This window comes from Homo sapiens, chromosome 3, assembly GCF_000001405.40.
Source record: "Homo sapiens chromosome 3, GRCh38.p14 Primary Assembly".
Classification (NCBI taxonomy): Eukaryota; Metazoa; Chordata; class Mammalia; order Primates; family Hominidae; genus Homo; species Homo sapiens.
Genome location: NC_000003.12, coordinates 177,337,729 through 177,358,019, shown reverse-complemented (window position 1 = coordinate 177,358,019; position 20,291 = coordinate 177,337,729). Strand labels below are relative to the sequence as shown.

Here is a 20,291-nt window from a genome sequence, read left to right as displayed (position 1 = left end):
AGGCTTCAACTGGTTAATTTAAAGGGGAAGCATCGCCAATTGCCACAGACTTCTAGAAGCCCATTTATTGTACCCTAGTGGTAATTAGGGCTTATTCAAGTGAATAGAAAGAGAAAAGAGAAGAAACTTTATCCCCTCTAAATTGCATTTAATAAAAATCTTGGAGAAAATGAGTGAATTGTCAGGCTTAATAATTTCCCCTGGGTCTTTGTTGGAGGGAGGCTGAGGAAATGTACAGTATTCTACATTTATAGGACAGCAGATCTGCATTTTAACAGAGTAAAATGCAGTCGTGGCTTACCCTCCTTTTTTCCCCCTTCATTTGTTTCCAAAGGGTTTTTTTCCAGCTCATGAGTCACTTCCAGTCAGATTCAAAGACAAAAGCCGGCTAATTGTGTGTCCATGAGTCAGGGTCCCACCCTGCCTTATCTGAACACCCTTTCTAGCTCTGAGAAGACAGAGCAATTTTCAGCCTATAAGGCATTGAGTGGAACCTGTTACACACCGCTTCTGGGTCAGGCTCTTTAGGGAGCAGTCCAGGCCCTTCCATTTCCTTCTGGCATCTGGCAGCTGATAGCACCTTGGGGTGTTTCCTTGCCAGTGTTATTTTCAGTCAGGAACTGTGCAGTCTACCCTGTTCCTAAGGCACCCTGTTGAGCCCAGAGAGATAAAGGTGAATTTAAAAGGAGGTCTAAACCCTCTAGCAATTTATCATATAATGAAGGAGAAAGGCAGAAAAGAATCACTGTTAGACAAGCTTTGAGGGTTATGGAAGAGTAAGTGCTAAGACTAATGATTTCTCAGTCTGCACCCCTTGCTGTCTCTCAGCAGCATTTTATCTGGTTGACTTTCCAACTACTTGAAACATTTTATTTCCAGACCTCCCTGATGTTACTTTGTTTTCCAAGCAGTGTCTATTTCCCACCCCCACTTTTTCTCTTATCCTTATGCCTTACATTCTCCCTCTTTCTAGATATCTCACTTCCAGATAATGGTACCACATCCAGCTGGCTGCTCATGCCCCAGAGACAATTCCTGATTTTTTTTTTTTTCTTTTTGAGACAGAATCTCGCTCAGTTGCCCAGGCTGGAGTGCAGTGGCATGATCTTGGTTCAATGTAGCCTCCGCCTCCTGGGTTCAAGGATTCTAATGCCTCAGCCTCCTCAGTAGCTGGGATTACAGGCGTCCACCACCACATCCAGCTCATTTTTGTATTTTTAGTAAAGATGGGGTGTCACCAGGTTGGCTAGGCTAGTCTCAAACTCTTGACCTCAGGTGATCTGCCCACCTCGGCCTCCCAAAGTGCTGGGATTACAGGCTTGAGCCACCATGCCCAGCCCTGATTTTTTCTTTTCTGTCATTCACTACACCCAATCCATCAGCTGGTTTCCCTCCAAAATTGTCTGTATGCATGCCCTTCTCCATCTATACTGCCACCATGCAACAAAGACATCTGCATCTCTCCTCTGCTCAGGGGCAGTAACCTCTGCCAAAATCCCACTACACTGAGAGCACTACTCAAACTCCTTGTCTAGGCCTCCTATGCCTTAGGTCATTTCCTCCTTTTATTCATTCCCTCCACCTTCTCCTAGCTCAGGCCACCCCTGCCACATGAGACCCTTTTCTTTCACCACTTTACTTCTTCCTATCTTAAGGCCTCTGCTCTTAGAGTTGGTTCCCTCTGCCTGGAAGACTCTCTGGCCCTTCCTAAGCTGGCTCCTCTATATCTGTCTTCTCTATATCTGTCTTAGATCGTTCAGGCTGCTATAACAAAAAATACCATTGATACAATTTGGATGTTTGTCTCCTCCAACTCTCATGTTGAATTGTAATCCACCAGTGTTGGAGGCGGGGCCTGATGGGAGGTGTTTGGGGCCGATCACTCATGAATTTCTTGGTGCTATTCTCACAATAATAAGTTCTCATGAGACCTGGTTGTTTAAAAGTGTGTGGCACCTCCCTGCACTCTCTCTTGCTCCTGCTCTCACCATGTGACGTGCCTGCTCCCCTTCACCTTCCTCCATGATTGTAGGCTTCCTGAGGCCTCCCCAGAAGCAGATGCCAGCACCACATATCCTGTACTGTCTCAAAACGATGCCCCAATTAAACCTCTTTTCTATATAATTTACCCAGCCTCAGGTATTTCTTTATAGCAATGCAAAAACAGCCTGACACAACCATAGACAGGGTGGCTTAAATAACACATTTATTTCTCACAGTTCTAGAGGCTAGGAAGTCCAAGGTCACAGGGCTGGCAAATTCAGTTCCCGGTGAGAACCTTCTTCTTGGTTTGCAGGTGAACACCTTCTTGCTATATCCTCACGTAGTAGAGAGAGAAATCATCTTTCTCATGTCTCTTATTTATTTATTTTTGAGACGGAGTCTCACTCTATTGCCCAGGATGGAGCGCAATGCAGTGATCTCGGCTCGCTACAACCTCCACCTCCAGGATTCAAGTGATTCTCCTGCCTCAGCCTCCTGAGTAGCTGGGATTACAGGCACCTGCCACCACACCTGGCTAATTTTTGTATTTTTAGTAGAGATGGGGTTCACCATGTTGGCCAGGCTGGTCTCAAACTCCTGACCTCGTGATCCACCCATCTCAGCCTTACAAAGTGCTGGGATTACAGGCATAGGCATGAGCCAACACACCAGGCCTCATGTCTCTTCTTTTTTTTTTTGAAACGGAGTCTTGCTGTGTCACCAGGTTGGAGTGCAGTGGCGTGATCTCAGCTCACTGCAACCTCTACCTCCCGGGTTCAAGCGATTCTCCTGCCTCAGCCTCCAAGTAGCTGGGTCTACAGGCACCGCCACCACGCCCAGCTAATTTTTGTATTTTTAGTGGAGACGGGGTTTCACCGTGTTAGCCAGACTGGTCTCGATCTCTTGACCTCATGATCTGCCCACCTCGGCCTCCCAAAGTGCTGAGATTACAGGCATGAGCCACCACACCCGGCCATGTCTGTTCTTATAAAGGCACTAATCCTATTCATGAGACTGCCACCCTCATGATCTGATCACCTCCCAAAGACCCCACCTCCAAATACCATCACGTTGGGGATTAGGGCTTCAACACAGGAATCTGGCGGGGACACAAACGTTCATTCCATGGCAGTATCCTTCAGGTTTCAGTTCAGTGATCAACCCCCTAGAGAGGTCTTCCATGACCACTACATGTTACATTCTATCACACCACTCAGTTTATGGCCAGCACACACTCACCATGATCTGTAGTAATCAGTTATTTTATTTATTTATTTCTGTCTTCTCTGTCTTCCCATTGGAACATAATCTCCAGGAACGCAGATATCGTATCAGGCTTGCTCCTTGTTCATTAATGAGTTCATTGACTAGAGTCTATTTCATAATAGGTACACAGTAAGTCCTTTTTGATTAATCAGTGCAGATAGTAGCGAAAGGTCAGTACAGATATGCCTAAGTTAACTCCTCAAGAAAAAGTGGAAGTTCACCAGGTGAATGAGGAGAAACGCATCTCAGAAAGGCACAAAGGTGTGTGTTCAGGGAAGTCTCTCTTGACCCCCCTGTCCCTCCAGCTACTGCCTCATTACTCTGCTCCCTCTGTAGCTAAGCAATGCTCTGAAGGGTTATCTAGGCTCACTGTGTTCATTCCTCTTCTCCCTTTTTCTTCTACTTGTTGCCAATCAGGCATTTTCCCCCAACCACTCGGCCAAAACTGCTCTTCTTAAGGTTAATAATAACCTCTGGCTAGGCACAGTGGGTCACACCTGCAATCCCAGCACTTTGGGAGGCCAAGGTAGGTGGATCACTTGAGGTCAGGAGTTCGAGACCAGCCTGGCCAATATGGTGAAACCCCATCTGTATTACAGATACAAAAATTAGCCGGGCATGATGGTGCACACCTGTAATCCTAGCTACTGGGGAGGCTGAGACAGGAGAATCACTTCAACCCAGGAGGCAGAGGTTGCAGTGAGCCAAGATCAAGCCACTGCACTTCAGCCTGGGCAACACAGCAAGACCCCATCTCAAAAAATAAATAAATAAATAAATAACCTCCATACTGCTAAGTCCAGTGGTCAGTTTTTAGGGTGATCCTAGTTAACTTCTCTGCAGCATCTGATACAGCTAATTACAGGTTCCTTCCGGAAACACTTTCTTCACTTGGTATCTGGGTTGCTACTCTATTGATCTTTCTCCTCCTTCACTGACTGCACCTTCTCAATCTCCTTGCTAATTCCTTTGCTATACCCATCTTCCGTCATCTGAATATTGGAACACTCCACATTCAAACCCTACAGCTGTAATGTTAAAATAGATCCCTAACCTGACTGCCTCTTACACCTCCACTGCTGTTACCCTGGTCTAAACCATAATCTTCTCTCCTGGTTATTGCAACAGCTTCCCAACTGATCTTCCCACCTCTACCCTTCAGTGTGTCCACAACACAGCAGCCAAGGGGTCCTTTGAGAACAGAAGATGGGCCATGTTACTCTGCTGCACAAAACCGTCCAGTTGCTGTTTGATGGAGTCAAAGCCAAAGTTCTGACGGTGGCATTCAAGGTCCTACTATATCGGGTCCCGCTGCCCAGCGTCCACCCGCTCCCAATCGCCTTCCATCCACTTGCTTTCTCACTGCATTTCAGCACACAGCCTTTTTGCTGTTTCTTAAACACAGTAGTTGCTTCCTGTCTCAAGACCTTCCAGATATGCATTGCTTCTGCTTGGAAAGCTGTTCCTCAAAATGTGTGTATGGCTTGCTCCCTTTATCAGCTCGCTGTTGTTACAATAATGCTACATAAGTGAAACATCCCCTCACCTTCTCAGAGAGGGCTGTCTATATAAAATGCAGCCCCCTATTCCCACTCCCAGCATAACTAAAGCTCCCTATCTCACTTGGGTTTTCTTATAGTTCTCATCACTTTCTAATATGCTATATAATGTTCATCATTCATTTTCCCCTACATCGTAGCCTCCATTTTATTTACTGACATATCCCCAGCTCTTAAAAACAGTGCCCGATATTCCTTACTTGGCATGCATTAATTATTTGCTGAATAAATATCAAATCTCAGAATGACAGTTTACAGCCCAGAGCCTAGAATTTTGCTATGGAAGAGTGGGCAATAATTACAGCAGAGATGGAACTAAAGAAATAAGAGGCCATAGTTTTCCAAAGACCTTGTATGTTATGGATACTAAGGTGTTTGGGTTTTACCCTACAGGGAATGGAAAAGCAATGAATCTTTTAAGCAGTGAACTGTCATGATGGTGAATGTGCCTAAAATGGCTCTGGAAACATCGTGGAATAGAATAGGGTACAGCCTGGTGGCTCAGAGCCCATGTGGCTGGCTGTGGGCAGTTGGACTGATGAGCAGGAAGCTTTATTTGAGTCTCTGAATTCAAGCTGTGTGAGCAGTTGCTAACTTTGCTCATTGGCCTACCTGACAAGGGCTCCCAGAGTGTGCCAGAAAGAAAATATGAAACTCCGACGTTGGGAAGGAAGCCCTCTTAGCCAGACTTCTTTCAACTGAGCCTCAGACTACTGGTATCGCCTGAGTGTGTATTGTTAAGAATAACAATCACTTACCCTTATATAGCCCAAAAGAGCTTAAAAAGGATTTTCCCAATCATTTCATCTAAGACTCAGAGATCCAAAGTACTCTAGCCAGTATGTTTAAGTATCTAGCCACTTCACTGGTTAAGAAAGGAAAGAACACTTATGTCCTGAAATATACTAGAACAATTTCTGGTGAATTGCTACGAATATAGTTAAAATACACTGGGGCCTACTTTTATGCTTCTAACAAACACTGTGTTGGACCTTAAATTTTCAGAGATCAAAGGTTAGTGTTATGTTCAACCTGTTCCCCTGAGTTCTTTACAATCCATCAAAAGACTCTGCTCTCCCCAGTTTAGTCACTTAAGTAGGTGAACAGGGACACACATAAAGGCACTAACAGGTAAAGTAGGTGCTTTCCCCAGTTATTTCTACATACAGTAAGAGATTATACTTTACTTCCCCCAACCACTGAGAAAGCATTCAGGCTTATAAGTATATTTATAGGGCTACCAGGAGTTCCCCGTTAGTCCCCCGAACCTTTTACATACCCCTGAAAAGGTTTGTTTCTACATAAATAGTCTTTAATGCACGCCCATGCCCTTCTTTCTTGGCAGAAACCCAACTTGGTCATGCCTGTATTTGAATGTTACAGCCCAAGCAATTCATTTTATATAGATACACAGACTTTCATATCTGTAAGAGGCTTTAGATATTACCTAATGTGTCTAACCTGTTCATTTTTCTTATAAGAAAACTAAGGCTCAACAAGCAAAGGGCAGGAACAGGGAAAGAAAACTGATGCCTACGAAGCTACTGCCCTGATCCAGGCCTGGGGCAGGCAGAGCTCCATACATGACTGCCTTTGTTCCTCCCTGGGGCAAAAAATCCTTGGCGTAGATATATTAGTCAGGGTTTTGTACAGAAACAGAACCTATAGGATATACATACAAGATTTACTTTAAGAAATTGTCTCACACAATTATGGAGGCTTGGCAAGTCCACAATCTACAGGGTGGCCATTAGGCTGGGGACCCAGGAAAGCACTAATATTGCAGATCAAGTCCAAAGGCCAGCTGCTATCAGAATTCCTTCCTGCTTGGGGAGAGCTATTCAGGCCATCAACTGATTGAATGAGGCTCACCCACATTATAGAGAGCAATCTGCTTTACTTGAAATCCACCAATTTAAATGTTAATCTCATCCAAAAACACCCTCACAGAAACATCCAGAATAATGTCTGACCAAATCTGATCACCACTGACCAAGTTGAGACACAAAATTTATCATCACAGTAGATAATATAATTTTGCAAATGTAATTTTAAAACTGGACCTCAGAAAGTCTGAATGACTTAGCCAAGGCCACCGGATGATTAGATGAGACTAGAACTCAGAAGTTTTAAGTCCCTGAAGATCCTCTTTCTACTAAATTATGTTTTGTTCGCAAATGAAAATAACATTTTTGAGTACTTAATATCCTAACATTTGCCAGGCTCTGTGTTAAGTATATATAAGTTCCCATTTAATAGAGCACCATCATATAGAAAAATAAATGGAATCTTAGAAACGTTGAATAACAAGCCCAAAGTAGCAAACAAGGGATGTAATTTGAATCTAGGTCTATGTCGTTCTAATACTTCCTGCCATCTGGCAGTTTTTAATGATATATTTCCTGTTACTTTTTTTTCTTTTTTCTTTTCTTTTTTTTTTTTTTTTTTGAGACAGGGTCTCACTCTGTTGCCCAGACTAGAGTGCAGTGGCATAATCATGGCTCACTGCAGCTTCGACCTCCCAGGCTCAAAGGATCCTCCCATCTCAGCCTTCCAAGTAGCTGGGACCACAGACGCGAACCACCATGCCCGGCCTACCACTCATCTTTCTCTAAGTTAGGCAGGATGTAATTTCTTTCCAATTGTTTTTTTCAATGACCTAGAGTCTTCCTCAACTAAGAACATTCCTTCAGTTCAAAGTGAGTTTCAAATATCAGATGTGCATACAAGATGAGGAAACTGATTGTAAAGAAATATATACACTCTTCCACGTCAATATGAGTATTGTCTCAAATAAAAAAGCTACCCCAGGCAACAATACACTCATTCCATTACTCAAAACTTTTCTATGGCTCCTCTCTTGAAATTGCCTTCAGGGTCTATATCCTTTGCTTTTCAGAAGTAGTTTTAATGTTAGCAAATGTTCGTTCTTTGATTTCATTTTTGGGAAACAGCCCAAAATCATCTGGTGCCAAATGTGGTAAAGGAGGCACATGATCAAGCTAATACAGATTAGATTGAGTTTTAAAATGAGGTGTGACTATGAAAGAAGGAGTTATTTTCTTTCTGTAGCTGGAAAAGTGGCTTCAAAGATAAACCAGTCTCATTTTGAGCAATAATAACAAAGTTGGAATAAATGTTTAAGTTGGAGAGGTTGCTTTTCAAGTGACTACACAGAACAGATGATAATCTGGTTTATCCTATTACTTTACGTTCACTTGAAATGTTAAAGTTGTTTTAAAAATAACATTTTTAGAAATGTTTTGGAATGAGATTCTTGTACATACTCTCGCTGGTTGGCTTTGGCCAGATGAAGACCTAGACAACAATGTGAGGGTTTACAATATCTTCGCAGTTGTAATTCAGAGAAAATGATTGAGAATTTTCCCTTTTTTTTTTCTTTTTTGAATCCTAATAATGCAAAGAGCTAATCAGACAAAGGTTTTTTCTTGGAAGTTAAGTATCCTCTACTTTTTCGCTAAGCACAAACAAAGGACATGGAGAACAGATCTCTCCCCAAAAAGAAATTAGAAAACTGCTGGTCTTTGAAAGTTTATAAAAGAGTGTCTTCCTGCTCCACAGCTGCCTTTCTTAATGTCCCCTCATAATACCCCTGTAATCCATACATGGAAATCCCCTTGGATTCCACACATAATTAACACTTGGCAGAAATAAGCAGTGCGAGCCTGAGGCTCTCTTCAATTACATTTAAGAAATTCAGATTTCCATGGGAGTGTTAGGGGAGGGAGAATTTAGACCCCACCACTCTCACAATATTCCCAGTTGCATGAATTTATAAAAATGTCTTCAGCCAGTCCAAAGGTCTTTATTGAGCATCTGCTATGTGCAGGGCATTGTGTATGTGTTGAGGGAGACACAAAGTGATGTCAGACAAAATTCCAACTCTTGTACCTTTCACCGAGGTCACTCCAGGTTCTAAATTTGTGAAAAGGGGAAGAAATGACTGACAAGTTGGAAGGGACAAAAAAGGCTTAACAGAGAGGTGGGAGATGAGCTGTACTGAAGCATGGTTAAGACACAGAGGGCTAAAGTTGGGGGAGGGCATCTTAGGCCAGAAGAATAACAAGACACCAGTGGTGGAAATGGAAAACATGTAGTGAAGATAGCACATGGAGCCTGAACGGGGAAGTCTTACAAGACAGGGTAAGGACAGAACTTTGGGAAGCTGCAGAAGCCTGTTTGATATTCAGCATACATTTAGGGAGCTGACTGCTTAGTTTTAAGCACTGTTTTGGCTGACCATGGGAATTTAAGGAGTCCGTTTTTTTTTTTTATTGTATGTATTTAAGGTATATTGCATGATGTTTTGATATACTTAAATAGTGAAATGGGTACTATAGTTAAGAAAATTAACAAATCCACTCTCGTGTAATTTCCCTTTTGTTGTTGTTGTTGTTTGTTTTGTTTTGTTGTTTTGAGACGGAGTCTCACTCAGCCGCCCAGGCTGGAGTGCAGTGGCATAGATCTCAGCTCACTGCAACCTCTGCCTCCTCGGTTCAAGCGATTCTCCTGCCTCAGCGTCCCAGTAGCTGGGACTACAGGTGCCTGCCACCACGCCTGGCTAATTTTTGTATTTTTAGTAGAGACGGTGTTTCACCATGTTGGCCAAGCTGGTCTTGAACTCCTGACCTCAAATGATCCACCCACTTCAGCCTCCCAAAGTTCTGGGATTACAGGCATGAGCGCCACGCCTGGCATTGTTCTTGTTGTTGTTACAAGGGCACCAAAAATCTACTCCCTTAGCAAATTTCCAGTACACAGTGCAATAGTATTACTATAGTCCTCCTGTTGTACCTTAAATGTCTAGACTCACTCATCCTATGTAACTGCAACTTTGTACCCTTTGACTCTACATCTCCCCATTTCCTGCCTCCTCCCTTGCCCTCTTTCCCCCAGCCCACCCTGGCAACCACTATTTTCTCCTTTATGTCATTGACTTTTTTTTTTAAGATTCCACATACAAGTGAGATGTGTATTTTTCCTTCTCTTTCTGGCTTATTTCACTTAGTATAATGTCCTCTAGGCTCATCCATGTTGCCTTTTGATTGGTCAGTTTTCTCACTGAAGACAAGTTCATCAGTTGAGAGTATGGATGGGGGAGTAAGTGTGGTGGCTGTCTAATTTGATTTTGAGTGGACAATTGTGTATAGTATACAATCCAAATGATGAGGAAGGACAAAGAGACAAATCTCTCTTCTGCCCCTGTCCACCAGCTACCTACATCCCCTTCCTGAGAACAACCAAGACTCCACCATCAAGAAGGTCTCTTCAAGCAAAGTGCCTAGGATGCACAATTTAAGGAGGCAGGTCTCAGGTGCTAACCCTCTGCTGGCATGACCCTGAGAGTGAAGGCCTCCTTAAATTCTGCTCCACCCCCCACCTCCCTCAACTCTGTAGTACTGGCACTGTTAAAGAGGTAACCCTGGAACCGTGCCTGGATCACACAGAGGCTCAAAAAGTGTTTTTTGGTCCTGTTTGCCTCATAGGTATCTTTTGAGATGTACATAAGAAAAAAAATAGATGCATGTGCTGGTGCAGTGCTATATAAACATGAGCTGATGCTAAATCACTATTGTAGTTATTCATTGCATTGCTGTTATTAGCAAAGATAATGTGTGTGTATACAATAGATATTATGGTTGTTCGAAGAATTTAACTGAAATAATGTATATCGCCATGTTGAAAGTAGCCCTTTAGGATTGATTTTTTTCCTAAATACGAAGTATAAACTTTGTTAAAGTTAAACAAACAAACAAAAGACAATGACCTCTGAGTGGAAGACTGACATGAAGAAAGCACTGAGTTAACTGAGAAGAATCCAAAGAATCATTGACGTACCTAGGCTTTCATCCTAGTCTGTCAGCTGAATTTTTACCCAGAATAGCAACTAAGAAAGTACTTAAACCTACTCTTGTCTTAATCTTCACAGAATTTTACTTTTTCACACATGGCTGTCATATCTTTATTCTGCTTCTTTGTAATATTAAAAATATTTTGCAGGAGCACTTTACCCAACACCTGTTACTGCCTTAGGTCAACAACTGGACTTACCTTAGGTCAGTTCCTCCTAGGATACCTGGAGCCTGGCCATTTCTGGGCATGTCCCCTTGTGAGCTGTGTGCAAGGAGCCCCAGAGTCCTAGAATCCTATGGGTGTAGACTGGTTTCCTTAGACCCAGCCCCACAAAAGAGAACATGAAACTAGAGAAATAAGCAGGTAGATCCCAGACCATGCCTACTCTGCTCAATAAATAGCAAAATAAAATAATAATAATAATAATAATAATAATAATGATTTATTTGAACATTGTAGATTTACTACCTCTTCTTTGCCAGTGTTTCATGAAATTTCCAGAGTAGAATACATGGCTTAAATAATATATTTCCTCCTCATTTATCAGACTTCTTGCACTCAGCATTGTTAATTATATTGTGGAGGGTGAGAAGCATGAAGCGTGGCGATATATTATGATCCAAATACCACACTAAATAAACATCTGGAAATGGATCATTTATAACACAACTGTTATAGGTTAGTGAGTGTATTTTAGGGTAAGCCGGGGAATACATATATAGCTTACAAAAAAATACGCTTAAAATCATAAACAAATGACCTACTTGTAGTTTTGTCCTCGTTTTCAGTAATAAGCCCTTTTCATGTGAATCCACAGTTGTCACTTACAAAGAAATGCTCTAAAGCTGAACTCTTTTATAATAGCATTATAATTTTAGACTGACTCCTGAGCTCCAAACCACTTAGAAACTTTTTACCAGCTCTGAAATAGATAGCAGGGTAATACTCATTTAATTCCTTTGCACAGTAATCTGATGGCTGAATATGCTTCAGAGATTCTTTTAGGGCTAGCAGGGGAATGAAATCAATCATAGTGCATAAATTACAAGAAAAGTGCTGTTGGTGTCAATTACCTAAGCTCTATGAATGTAAGTCTTCTAATTTCCTGTTAAATCAGTAATGTTACCAATCTTACTCTATTATTTTAAATAGGACTGTAACTGCAGTTGCTAGGAGTTGAATGAGGGCAGACAAATGTGAATAGTTAATGAGTCTCAGCAACTAATAGCAAGTTGAAGGTGTCAATAACAGGGATATTATAACATGACTCTCAAAGCTCCACCCTGGTGTCTACAAAAGAAGGTTTAATTCTTTCTTTTTTTTTTTTTTTTAATTTGTGCCCCTATACCCTCCCTAAATCAATGTAGTACACAGCAAATGCCAGGTGAATGTAGGTGTTCCTATTGCCATAGTGAGTTCCTACCTTCCCCCAAAGATAATGGCCCTGAGTTGGTACAGGAAGTCTTGGCTGCACTTTCCCTAGTAATCTACCCACCCCCACTGCTAGCGGCTGCATTTCACTGACTCATAGTTTCCAAGTATGATCAGCATGCTAACAGGAAAGATACAGTCACTGGGCAAAGCAGCAGCCCTGGAGCGCTGGCCAAGGCCTATCCAATAACTGCCACCATTGATGGCAAAAAGGAAATAAGGAACACAACAACAATGACACAAAAACCTAGAGTACAGGAACGTTTTAAGAATCAAACCCCTGCTGTTTGTCGTTTCTTCAGCACACCCAGTGCTTCCCAGTACACAACAAACTGGATGGGGGAGTGGGGTTTTATTTACCATTTGGCTATCAGTTCACGTCCTATTCTCTAAAAATAATAAAATTGGTCGATGGCGTTTCACACTGAATAATATTACAGGAATCAAACTGGCTGGGAGCCAAAGTTACGCTGAGGTTTGGCTAGGCCTGGATTTGTGTCCGAGGGTATCAAATACTGTATGATCAGGTTAGGTTTTGCAGTGCGTTGCAGACTTCCTCCTGTTAGGAAACATTCTCACAAACGGCACACAGACTACCCTATTCAGCCAGTACTTAAACAGGAAACCATTCCACCCTTCTGCTTTCCTTGGTAAAGCCTTATCTTTGAGTCAAAGAAATGTAACTTTCTAAATCGCCTCCATTCTTTTTTAGTTTGCATTCTTTTGTTTGTCAGCATTTTGCAAATTTGCAGGTATCTACAGTTCCCTAACCCCATTCTCAAGTGCCCTATTATCCCCAATTTCACTCTCAGAATACTTCATGAAAAAGAAGAATCCTATGACAAAGGATAACTATTATTAAGTCAATTGTCAACCCATCAGATGAACCAAATAGCTAAATTCTAAATAGATTTAAATAACCGGTGAAGAGCTCAAGCAAAGTCAGGTCTTAAAGTTATATTTAGTCACTTGGTCAGTTCTCTAACTGCCTAATAGGCATTCTCAGAAGAGAAGTTTGCTTTAGCACTATGAGATTTAAATGTAAAACAGAATAAATAAATAGATACATGGAATAGAACAGAATAGAATGGGAAGAAAGCAGCCCACGTCAACTCTAATACAACTTGTCACTATGGGAACATTTGTTAGAACTGAAGAAGATTAAGGCCAAGGAAACTGGCAGATCTCCCAGTACAGATTTCCTAGGCTAAGAAAAGGCCACAGCGGCCGGGCGCGGTGGCTCATGCCTGTAATCCCAGCACTTTGGGAGGCCAAGGCAGGCGGATCACGAGGTCAGGAGATCGAGACCATCCTGGCTAACACGGTGAAACCCCATCTCTACTAAAAATACAAAAAATTAGCTGGGCGTGCTTGTGGCCGTCTGTAGTCCCAGCTACTTGGGAGGCTGAGGCAGGAGAATGGCGTGAACCCGGGAGGCGGAGTTTGCAGTGAGCCGAGATAGCACCACTGCAATCCAGCCAGGGCGACAGAGCAAGACTCTGTCTCAAAAAAAAAAAAAAAAAAAAGAAAGAAAAGAAAAGAAAGAAAGAAAAGAAAAGAGAAAAGAAAAGGCCACAGCGATCCTATATGTGGCCCCAGTCTGTCTTGAATCATGAGTAAGGACACTGTCGTAAATTAAGCTGAAATATTTAGAATTATGACACTCATTTGACTGTATGAGGATTAGAGGGAAACTTAGAGGAACAAACTCAATTTGCACATATGGAATCTGAATCACAGTGAGATCCAGGGGCTGTAGAAGTCGCAGAACTTATTAATAATGGACTAGAGTCAGGATCCCCTAGTCCGCAACCTCTGGAATGTTCCACTGCCAGTCTAGCCATATCTGGTTTACCTTACAGATTATAAGGTACTTAAATGCTGATTAGTTATCTATTTTCAACCTCTGTGACTGTAAATGAGATTAGAAAGTTTGTATGATGGGAAATTCAATGGCGCATCATGTGATACTGAGAGAAGAAATGTGCTTATGATAAAATCCTTTCCGACACAAATAACTCTGCAAAGGTATTGAAGAGCGCTGGGTCTGTACACATTGTGATGTTATTATTAGCCAAGACTCTAGCTATGTTTATATATCCAGTCAGGTGCAAGGGAAAAAAAAAACCCCTCTAAATTCCTCAAGAAAGATTTACGTAGTGCATAGTCTTTCACTCAGAAATTGAATTATTTCTTGTTTTAATACAAAACTGTCGATTTTTATGAAATCATTTCAGAAACATGCCTTATCAGGGAATGTTGTAAGATTTTCCAACATCAAAAAAAATGCTCTGGTAGAATCATCATGGGCATTTTGAGTGGAAAAAAAAAAACTTCACAAACTCAAAAGCACTGTACTTAACGATCAGGAATTATTGTTGTTGTCACTGCTATTATCCTCTTTTTCCAGAAGGATCCTATGAAAGTTATTCAAAAATTTTGGGTGGAATGAACAGGTCTCAGATCACAGTAGCCTAGTTCAAAGTCTGAAGGTTGTGTGAGCTGTTGCTTGAATTTAAAAAGAGAGGAAAGGGAAAGGGTGAGGTGGACAGGAGGAGAGCCTGGTTACTGTGAACTGCTTTACTGCTAGAAACTCAGTCACCTTTGCCCAGGCACAGCTTGTCCTGTTGTGGGCCTTCCCCACCATCAGCCAGAAATATGAAGATACATCTGTAAAGAATGATGACCTTTACTAGCCAATATTTATCATGTGCTTACCACATCCCAAATCCCGGGCTGCGCACTCTGTATAGGGTACCAACTTTTTCCTTCCAGCAACTCTTACAGGCAGTCCTATTACTATCCCCATCTTATAGATGGAGCGTCTGAGGCTTAGAGAGGTGAGGTAACTTGCCCAGGGCACATGGATAGCAGATTTAAAGGTAATGCCCAGGTGGTCCAATCTGCTTACTAAACAGTCTCCTAGAGACTAGTGGAAGTCAAAGGATATGGCCTTGAAAAAGTAGTGATTTGGGTTGTTGTTTTCTCAGTGTAAGGAAAGGTGATTAGATTATGTAACCATCTGCTTCATTGATGGGACTTGCAGTTTGAAAGTTTAATTCTATTATTTAGTATAATACTAGCTGCTGAAACAAATCTCCAAACCCCAATGAATACAATACAAGCTTATTTTTCGGCGGGGCACGGTGGCTCACACCTGTAATCCCAGCATTTTGGGAGGTCGAAGCGGGTGGATCACGGGGTCAGGAGCTCGAGACCAGCCTGGCCAAGATAGTGAAACCCCATCTCTACTAAAAATACAAAAATTAGCCAGGCATGGTGGCACGCACCTGTAGTCCCAGCTACTCAGGAGGCTGAGGCAGGAGAATCACTTGAACCCGGAGGCAAAGGTTGTGGTGAGGTGAGATTGCGCCACTGCACTCCAGCCTGGGCAACAGAGTGAGGCTCCATCTCAAAACAAACAAACAAAAAAGTTTATTTCTCACTCATATCACACTCCTGTGTAGATCAGCAACTCTGCTCTTCACAGTCATTCAGTAACCCAGGGTCCTTCCGTCTTATAGCTCTGCCTTCCTCTAGATCCATGGAGTCCTCTGAGTTCAGAGGTTGGACAGGAAAAGAGAGTGAGAAAGGCACATGGGGGTTTTAAAGGCAAGGCCTGTTCATATTCCACTGGCCCAGTTTCAGTTACATGATCACACCCAACTACTGGGAAATGCAATCTAGCTGTGGCCTCAAAAGCAGCAGAGAACATGGACACCGGGGAGAATTTGCAGCCTTTGTCTCAGAAAGCAATATCTTCATTGAACCCTTTATTTAATTCCTTATTTCTCTGCTGCCCAGCAATTATTTTTTCAAATGGTTTTAAGGAATAGCATCTACAGAAGATTTCTTGGAGTATGTACAATTCACTTATTTCCAAATAGTCCAGTGTGTATGTGGGCCCATTGTTTTGCTCCCACGCTCAATATCCTGGGAACGCCTTTTCTGATTTGCATTCGTTGTTTGTGCCTTTGACTTGCACTGAGGAATATGAGACACAGCCATATGAAATTCACTGTGATCTCTACTAAAAGGATTTTATCAAGGAAGAAACCTCTCGGGTTTTAGTATGAGTAAAAACTATGTTTCTCTTGAATTGCGTTTTTTTAAATCTCACAAACATTCTGAATCTTATAATAGATCACATTTTTCCCTTTGCTGAGGCCACTAAGAAACTCTGAGCCAAATTTTACATTCTTCTCCAAACACAGAACAAAAGCTTTATAATATTTATTTCTGTGTATCAGTTTTACCTATCTGTATTATTTTTCTATCAAAAACAAAACAATTTTGCCCTCACCCTAATTGTTTCTAATGTTATTTTATATTTTTGTATTTTGTATAGAAAGAGAGAACCTCAAAAACCATTGAGGTACAAGATGGATAAAAATAAATAATCTCACAGTGGTTACTAGAGGTGGGACAGGGTGGGGGAGGGGTAGCCGAAGGTTGGTTAAGGAATGCAAAAGTATAGTTAGATAGGAGGAATAAGTTCTAGTGTTCATACAGCACTAGAGAGTGACTATAGCTAACAACAACTCATGGCATATTTTCAGGCCAGGCATAGTGGCTCATGCCTGTAATCCCAACACTTCGGGAGGCCAAGGCGGGTGGATCACGAGGTCAGGAGTTTGAGACCAGCCTGTCCAGCATGGCAAAACCCCGTCTCTACTAAAAATATAAAAATTAGCCGGGCATGATGGCACGTGCCTGTAGTTTCAGCTACTTAGGAGGCTGAGGCAGGAAAATCGCTTGAACCTGGGAAGCGGAGGTTGTAGTGAGCCGAAATTGTGCCATTGCACTTCAGCCTGGGCAACAGAGTGAGACTCCTTCTCAAAAAAAAAAAAAAAAAAAAATTGCATATTTTCAAATAGCTAGAAGATCAGATTTTTAATGTTCCCAACACAAAGAAATGATAAATGTTTGAGGTAATGGTTATGCTAATTACCCTGATTTGATTATTATACATTGTATCCATGTATCCAAATATCACACGGTACCCCATAAATATGTGTCAGTTAAAAATAATAATGAAAGCAAAAAATAAAAATTAGTTAATTAATTAACACAAAATAAATAAATAATCTCATCATGCACTGTGGGGTAGCACACATGAATTTGATCGTATTTGTAATTTGGAATCTATGCCAAATGCCATCTCAGTTATGAGGGTTATTCAGAAAGACAAACAGGATAGATACTCCCCAGCTGTCATGCCGCCTTAGTGCACAGGAAACCCTGTGAGCAGCTGACCCTCCAAGCTGATCTCAGCCCATTGGTATTCTTGGTGGTCCTGTCCCAGTATCTTAAAGGTGAAAAGTGCTGGGTGTAACATGTGTCACAAAACAGCTCTCTGAGTTAAGGTCTTTGCTTAATGAGGAGCTGTGAATACAGAGGACCTGTGGGAATACTTTAGGAATTAACCATGTGCTCATATGGTAGATCTACTACAGCTAACTAGCTGAGTGACCTTGAGCAAGGTACTTAACCTCTCTGGGCCTCTCATGTCCTTATACCTAAAATAAAGACATTGGGCCATTGGGCTAGATAATCTCTAAAACCTCTTCCAGCACAATAAATCTCTTCCAGCACAATAAATCTGTGATACATTCTTTATACAAATTAAAATATAGTTTTTAAAAGTTCCCCCAGGTCTTTTAGAAATAAATAGGCCGGGCGCAGGGGCTCACGCCTGTAATCCCAGCACTTTGAGAGGCTGAGGAGGGCAGATCACGAGATCAGGAGATCGACACCATCCTGGCTAACACAGTGAAACCCTGTCTCTACTAAAAATACAAAAAATTAGCTGGGCATGGTGGCATGTGCCTGTAGTCCCAGCTGTTCAGGAGGCTGAGGCAGGAGAATCGCTTGAACACAGGAGGCAGAGGTTGCCGTGAACTGAGATCGCACCACTGCACTCCAGCCTGGGCAACAGAGCGAGACTCTGTCCCAAAAAAATAAAATAAAATAAAATAAAATAAAATAAAATAAAATAAAATAAAATAAAATAAAATAAGACTATGAGCCAGGAGCAGTGGCTCACGCCTGTAATCCCAGCACTTTGGGAGGCCGAGGCAGGTGGATCACCTGAGGTCGGGAGTTCAGGACCAGCCTGACCAACATGGAGAAACCCCGTCTCTACTAAAAATACAAAATTAGTCAGGCATGGTGGCGCATGTCTGTAATCCTAGCTACTTGGGAGGCTGAGGCAGGAGAATCGCTTGAACCCAGAAAGTGGAGGTTGCAGTGAGTCGAGATCACTCCATTGCACTCCAGCCTGGGCAACAAGAGGAAAACTCCGTAACAAAGAAAGAAAGAGAGAGAGAGAGAAGGAAGGAAGGAAAGGAAGGGAGGAAGGAAGGAAGGAAGGAAGGAAGGAAGGAAGGAAGGAAGGAAGGAAGGAAGGGAGAGAGGAAGAAAGGAAAGAAAAGAAAGAAAGAAAGAGAAAGAAAAAGAAAGAAAGAAAGAAAGAAAGAAAGAAAGAGAAAGAAAGAGAAGAAAGAAAAAAGAGAAATGACTATGTCTAGAGAAAAAGATCTAGTGGGCAAACTATAAGTGAGTAAATCAGGCTAGTAGCAAACATATTCAGGAACCACCATGATAAAATGTGGCTGCTTATCTTTCCTGTTTGAACAGGAGGTCACAGTTTTGCTATATAGAGTTGAAAGGTTGTATAGACAGGATGTGTTAATTTGAGTTAGAATTCATCTGGGGCACCTGGACAGTTAATCCATCTCTGGGCTTCAGGAATCCAATACTACCCTAAGAACACTGTTGTAGAATGTATACGGCATGCTGGACATGGAAATCGGCTTGCTCCATTGGTGGTGGGGCATAGAGAGGTTCATGTCAGCCCAGCACATCCCCAGGAACTATACCAGTTTCCTTATTGCCCAAGCCAATATCTACAATGCAAAGCATCTTTCAACTGTAATTTAGGAGGACTATGAGCTGGCCACCTGAGTTTTTGCTTGCAGTTCAGGAACTATTGCTAAAAATGCATTTTATGGTGAAACAAGGGATTAGCTAATCTTTCAGGCTAACAGAGGACCAGCTACAAATGTTTCCTGTGTGTATTGTGAAACTCTGAGATAACAGAGAAGTTCCTTATTGCCCTCTGAATTTCCCTTCCCCCAGGACCTCCACTGGTCACACAAGCCATTATCTGAGACAAGCTGACCAGAGCGTGATGCTATAACTTTTTTTGTTCATACTTCCAAATTAAATCTGGTTAGAAAAATAAATGGCTAGAAAGTATTTAAATCTTGTCTTGAATCTTGGAGGAATTTACTTATTTTTCTTCATCTGTTGGCTACCCTTCTTTAAAAAAAAAATTATTATTATTTTTTTTGAAACGGAGTTTTGCTCTTGTTGCCCAGGTTGGAATGCAATGGTGCGATCTCAGCTCAACGCGACCTCTGCCTCCCGGGTTCAAGCGATTCTCCTGCCTCAGCCTCCCGAGTAGCTGGGACCACAGGTGCCCGCCACTACACCCAGATAATTTTATATTTTTAGTCTCAAACTCCTGACCTCAGGTGATCTGCCCACCTTGGCCTCCCAAAGTGCTGGGATTACAGGCGTGAGCCATTGCGCCCGGCCAGTTTTATTTTTTATTAACAAACTCATTCTCTGGATATTCTGGAGACAAAAGCAAAACACCCAAGAAAATGGGCACTTAGGCAATAAGAACTCAGACCCCTGTGGTTTGCTACAAATGTACTCACTAACAGAGCACATGCTGCCACCCTTAAGTTTCACACATGCTGCCAAGACCAAAGGTCCACTTTGATGACTAAATGGTAACACTATTTTCTTTGAATCATAGTATATGCATTTAATATTCTCTTGGGCCTTACTTAAAAGAGTAATATTTTTTCTTTTTTTTTTTAGGGTAAAGATATGGGAATTTCCCAACCACATTGTTCCACTTCATATCTTCTTCTTTCTCTTCTCATTTTATTTTCACTGCAGACCAGAGTGAAGACAAATGTGTATTACTTGGTAGCTTATGAACAGCAAGGAAAAACTGACTGGCAACCGCCATGGAAAGGTGTGAAACCGTAACCACGAGGACTCTCACATTTACATGTTACTGACTAGCGAATGTCTAGGCCTAAAACATCTGCCCTCTTATAGCTGTTTTATTATTATGTAAACATGGCTACAAGATTTCTG

At 41.9% G+C, this 20,291-nt stretch overlaps 5 annotated features.

Moving 5' to 3' along the window:
* Nucleotides 6,254-6,313: an enhancer, noted in NCBI's record as "active region_20841". NCBI's record gives its function as "activates an Ori minimal core promoter by ATAC-STARR-seq in GM12878 lymphoblastoid cells {active_cell/tissue: GM12878}" and the evidence as "EXISTENCE:reporter gene assay evidence [ECO:0000049][PMID:35858748]".
* Nucleotides 11,932-12,449: an enhancer, noted in NCBI's record as "NANOG-H3K27ac hESC enhancer chr3:177063359-177063876 (GRCh37/hg19 assembly coordinates)". NCBI's record gives its function as "activates a minimal SCP1, AML or CMV promoter by ChIP-STARR-seq in naive H9 embryonic stem cells {active_cell/tissue: H9 hESC(naive)}" and the evidence as "EXISTENCE:reporter gene assay evidence [ECO:0000049][PMID:30033119]".
* Nucleotides 12,970-13,489: an enhancer, noted in NCBI's record as "OCT4-NANOG-H3K27ac-H3K4me1 hESC enhancer chr3:177062319-177062838 (GRCh37/hg19 assembly coordinates)". NCBI's record gives its function as "activates a minimal SCP1, AML or CMV promoter by ChIP-STARR-seq in naive H9 embryonic stem cells {active_cell/tissue: H9 hESC(naive)}" and the evidence as "EXISTENCE:reporter gene assay evidence [ECO:0000049][PMID:30033119]".
* Nucleotides 19,045-19,339: an enhancer, noted in NCBI's record as "tiled region #10654; K562 Activating DNase unmatched - State 5:Enh". NCBI's record gives its function as "activates a minimal TATA promoter and a strong SV40 promoter by Sharpr-MPRA in K562 cells {active_cell/tissue: K562}" and the evidence as "EXISTENCE:reporter gene assay evidence [ECO:0000049][PMID:27701403]".
* Nucleotides 19,088-19,187: an enhancer, noted in NCBI's record as "active region_20840". NCBI's record gives its function as "activates an Ori minimal core promoter by ATAC-STARR-seq in GM12878 lymphoblastoid cells {active_cell/tissue: GM12878}" and the evidence as "EXISTENCE:reporter gene assay evidence [ECO:0000049][PMID:35858748]".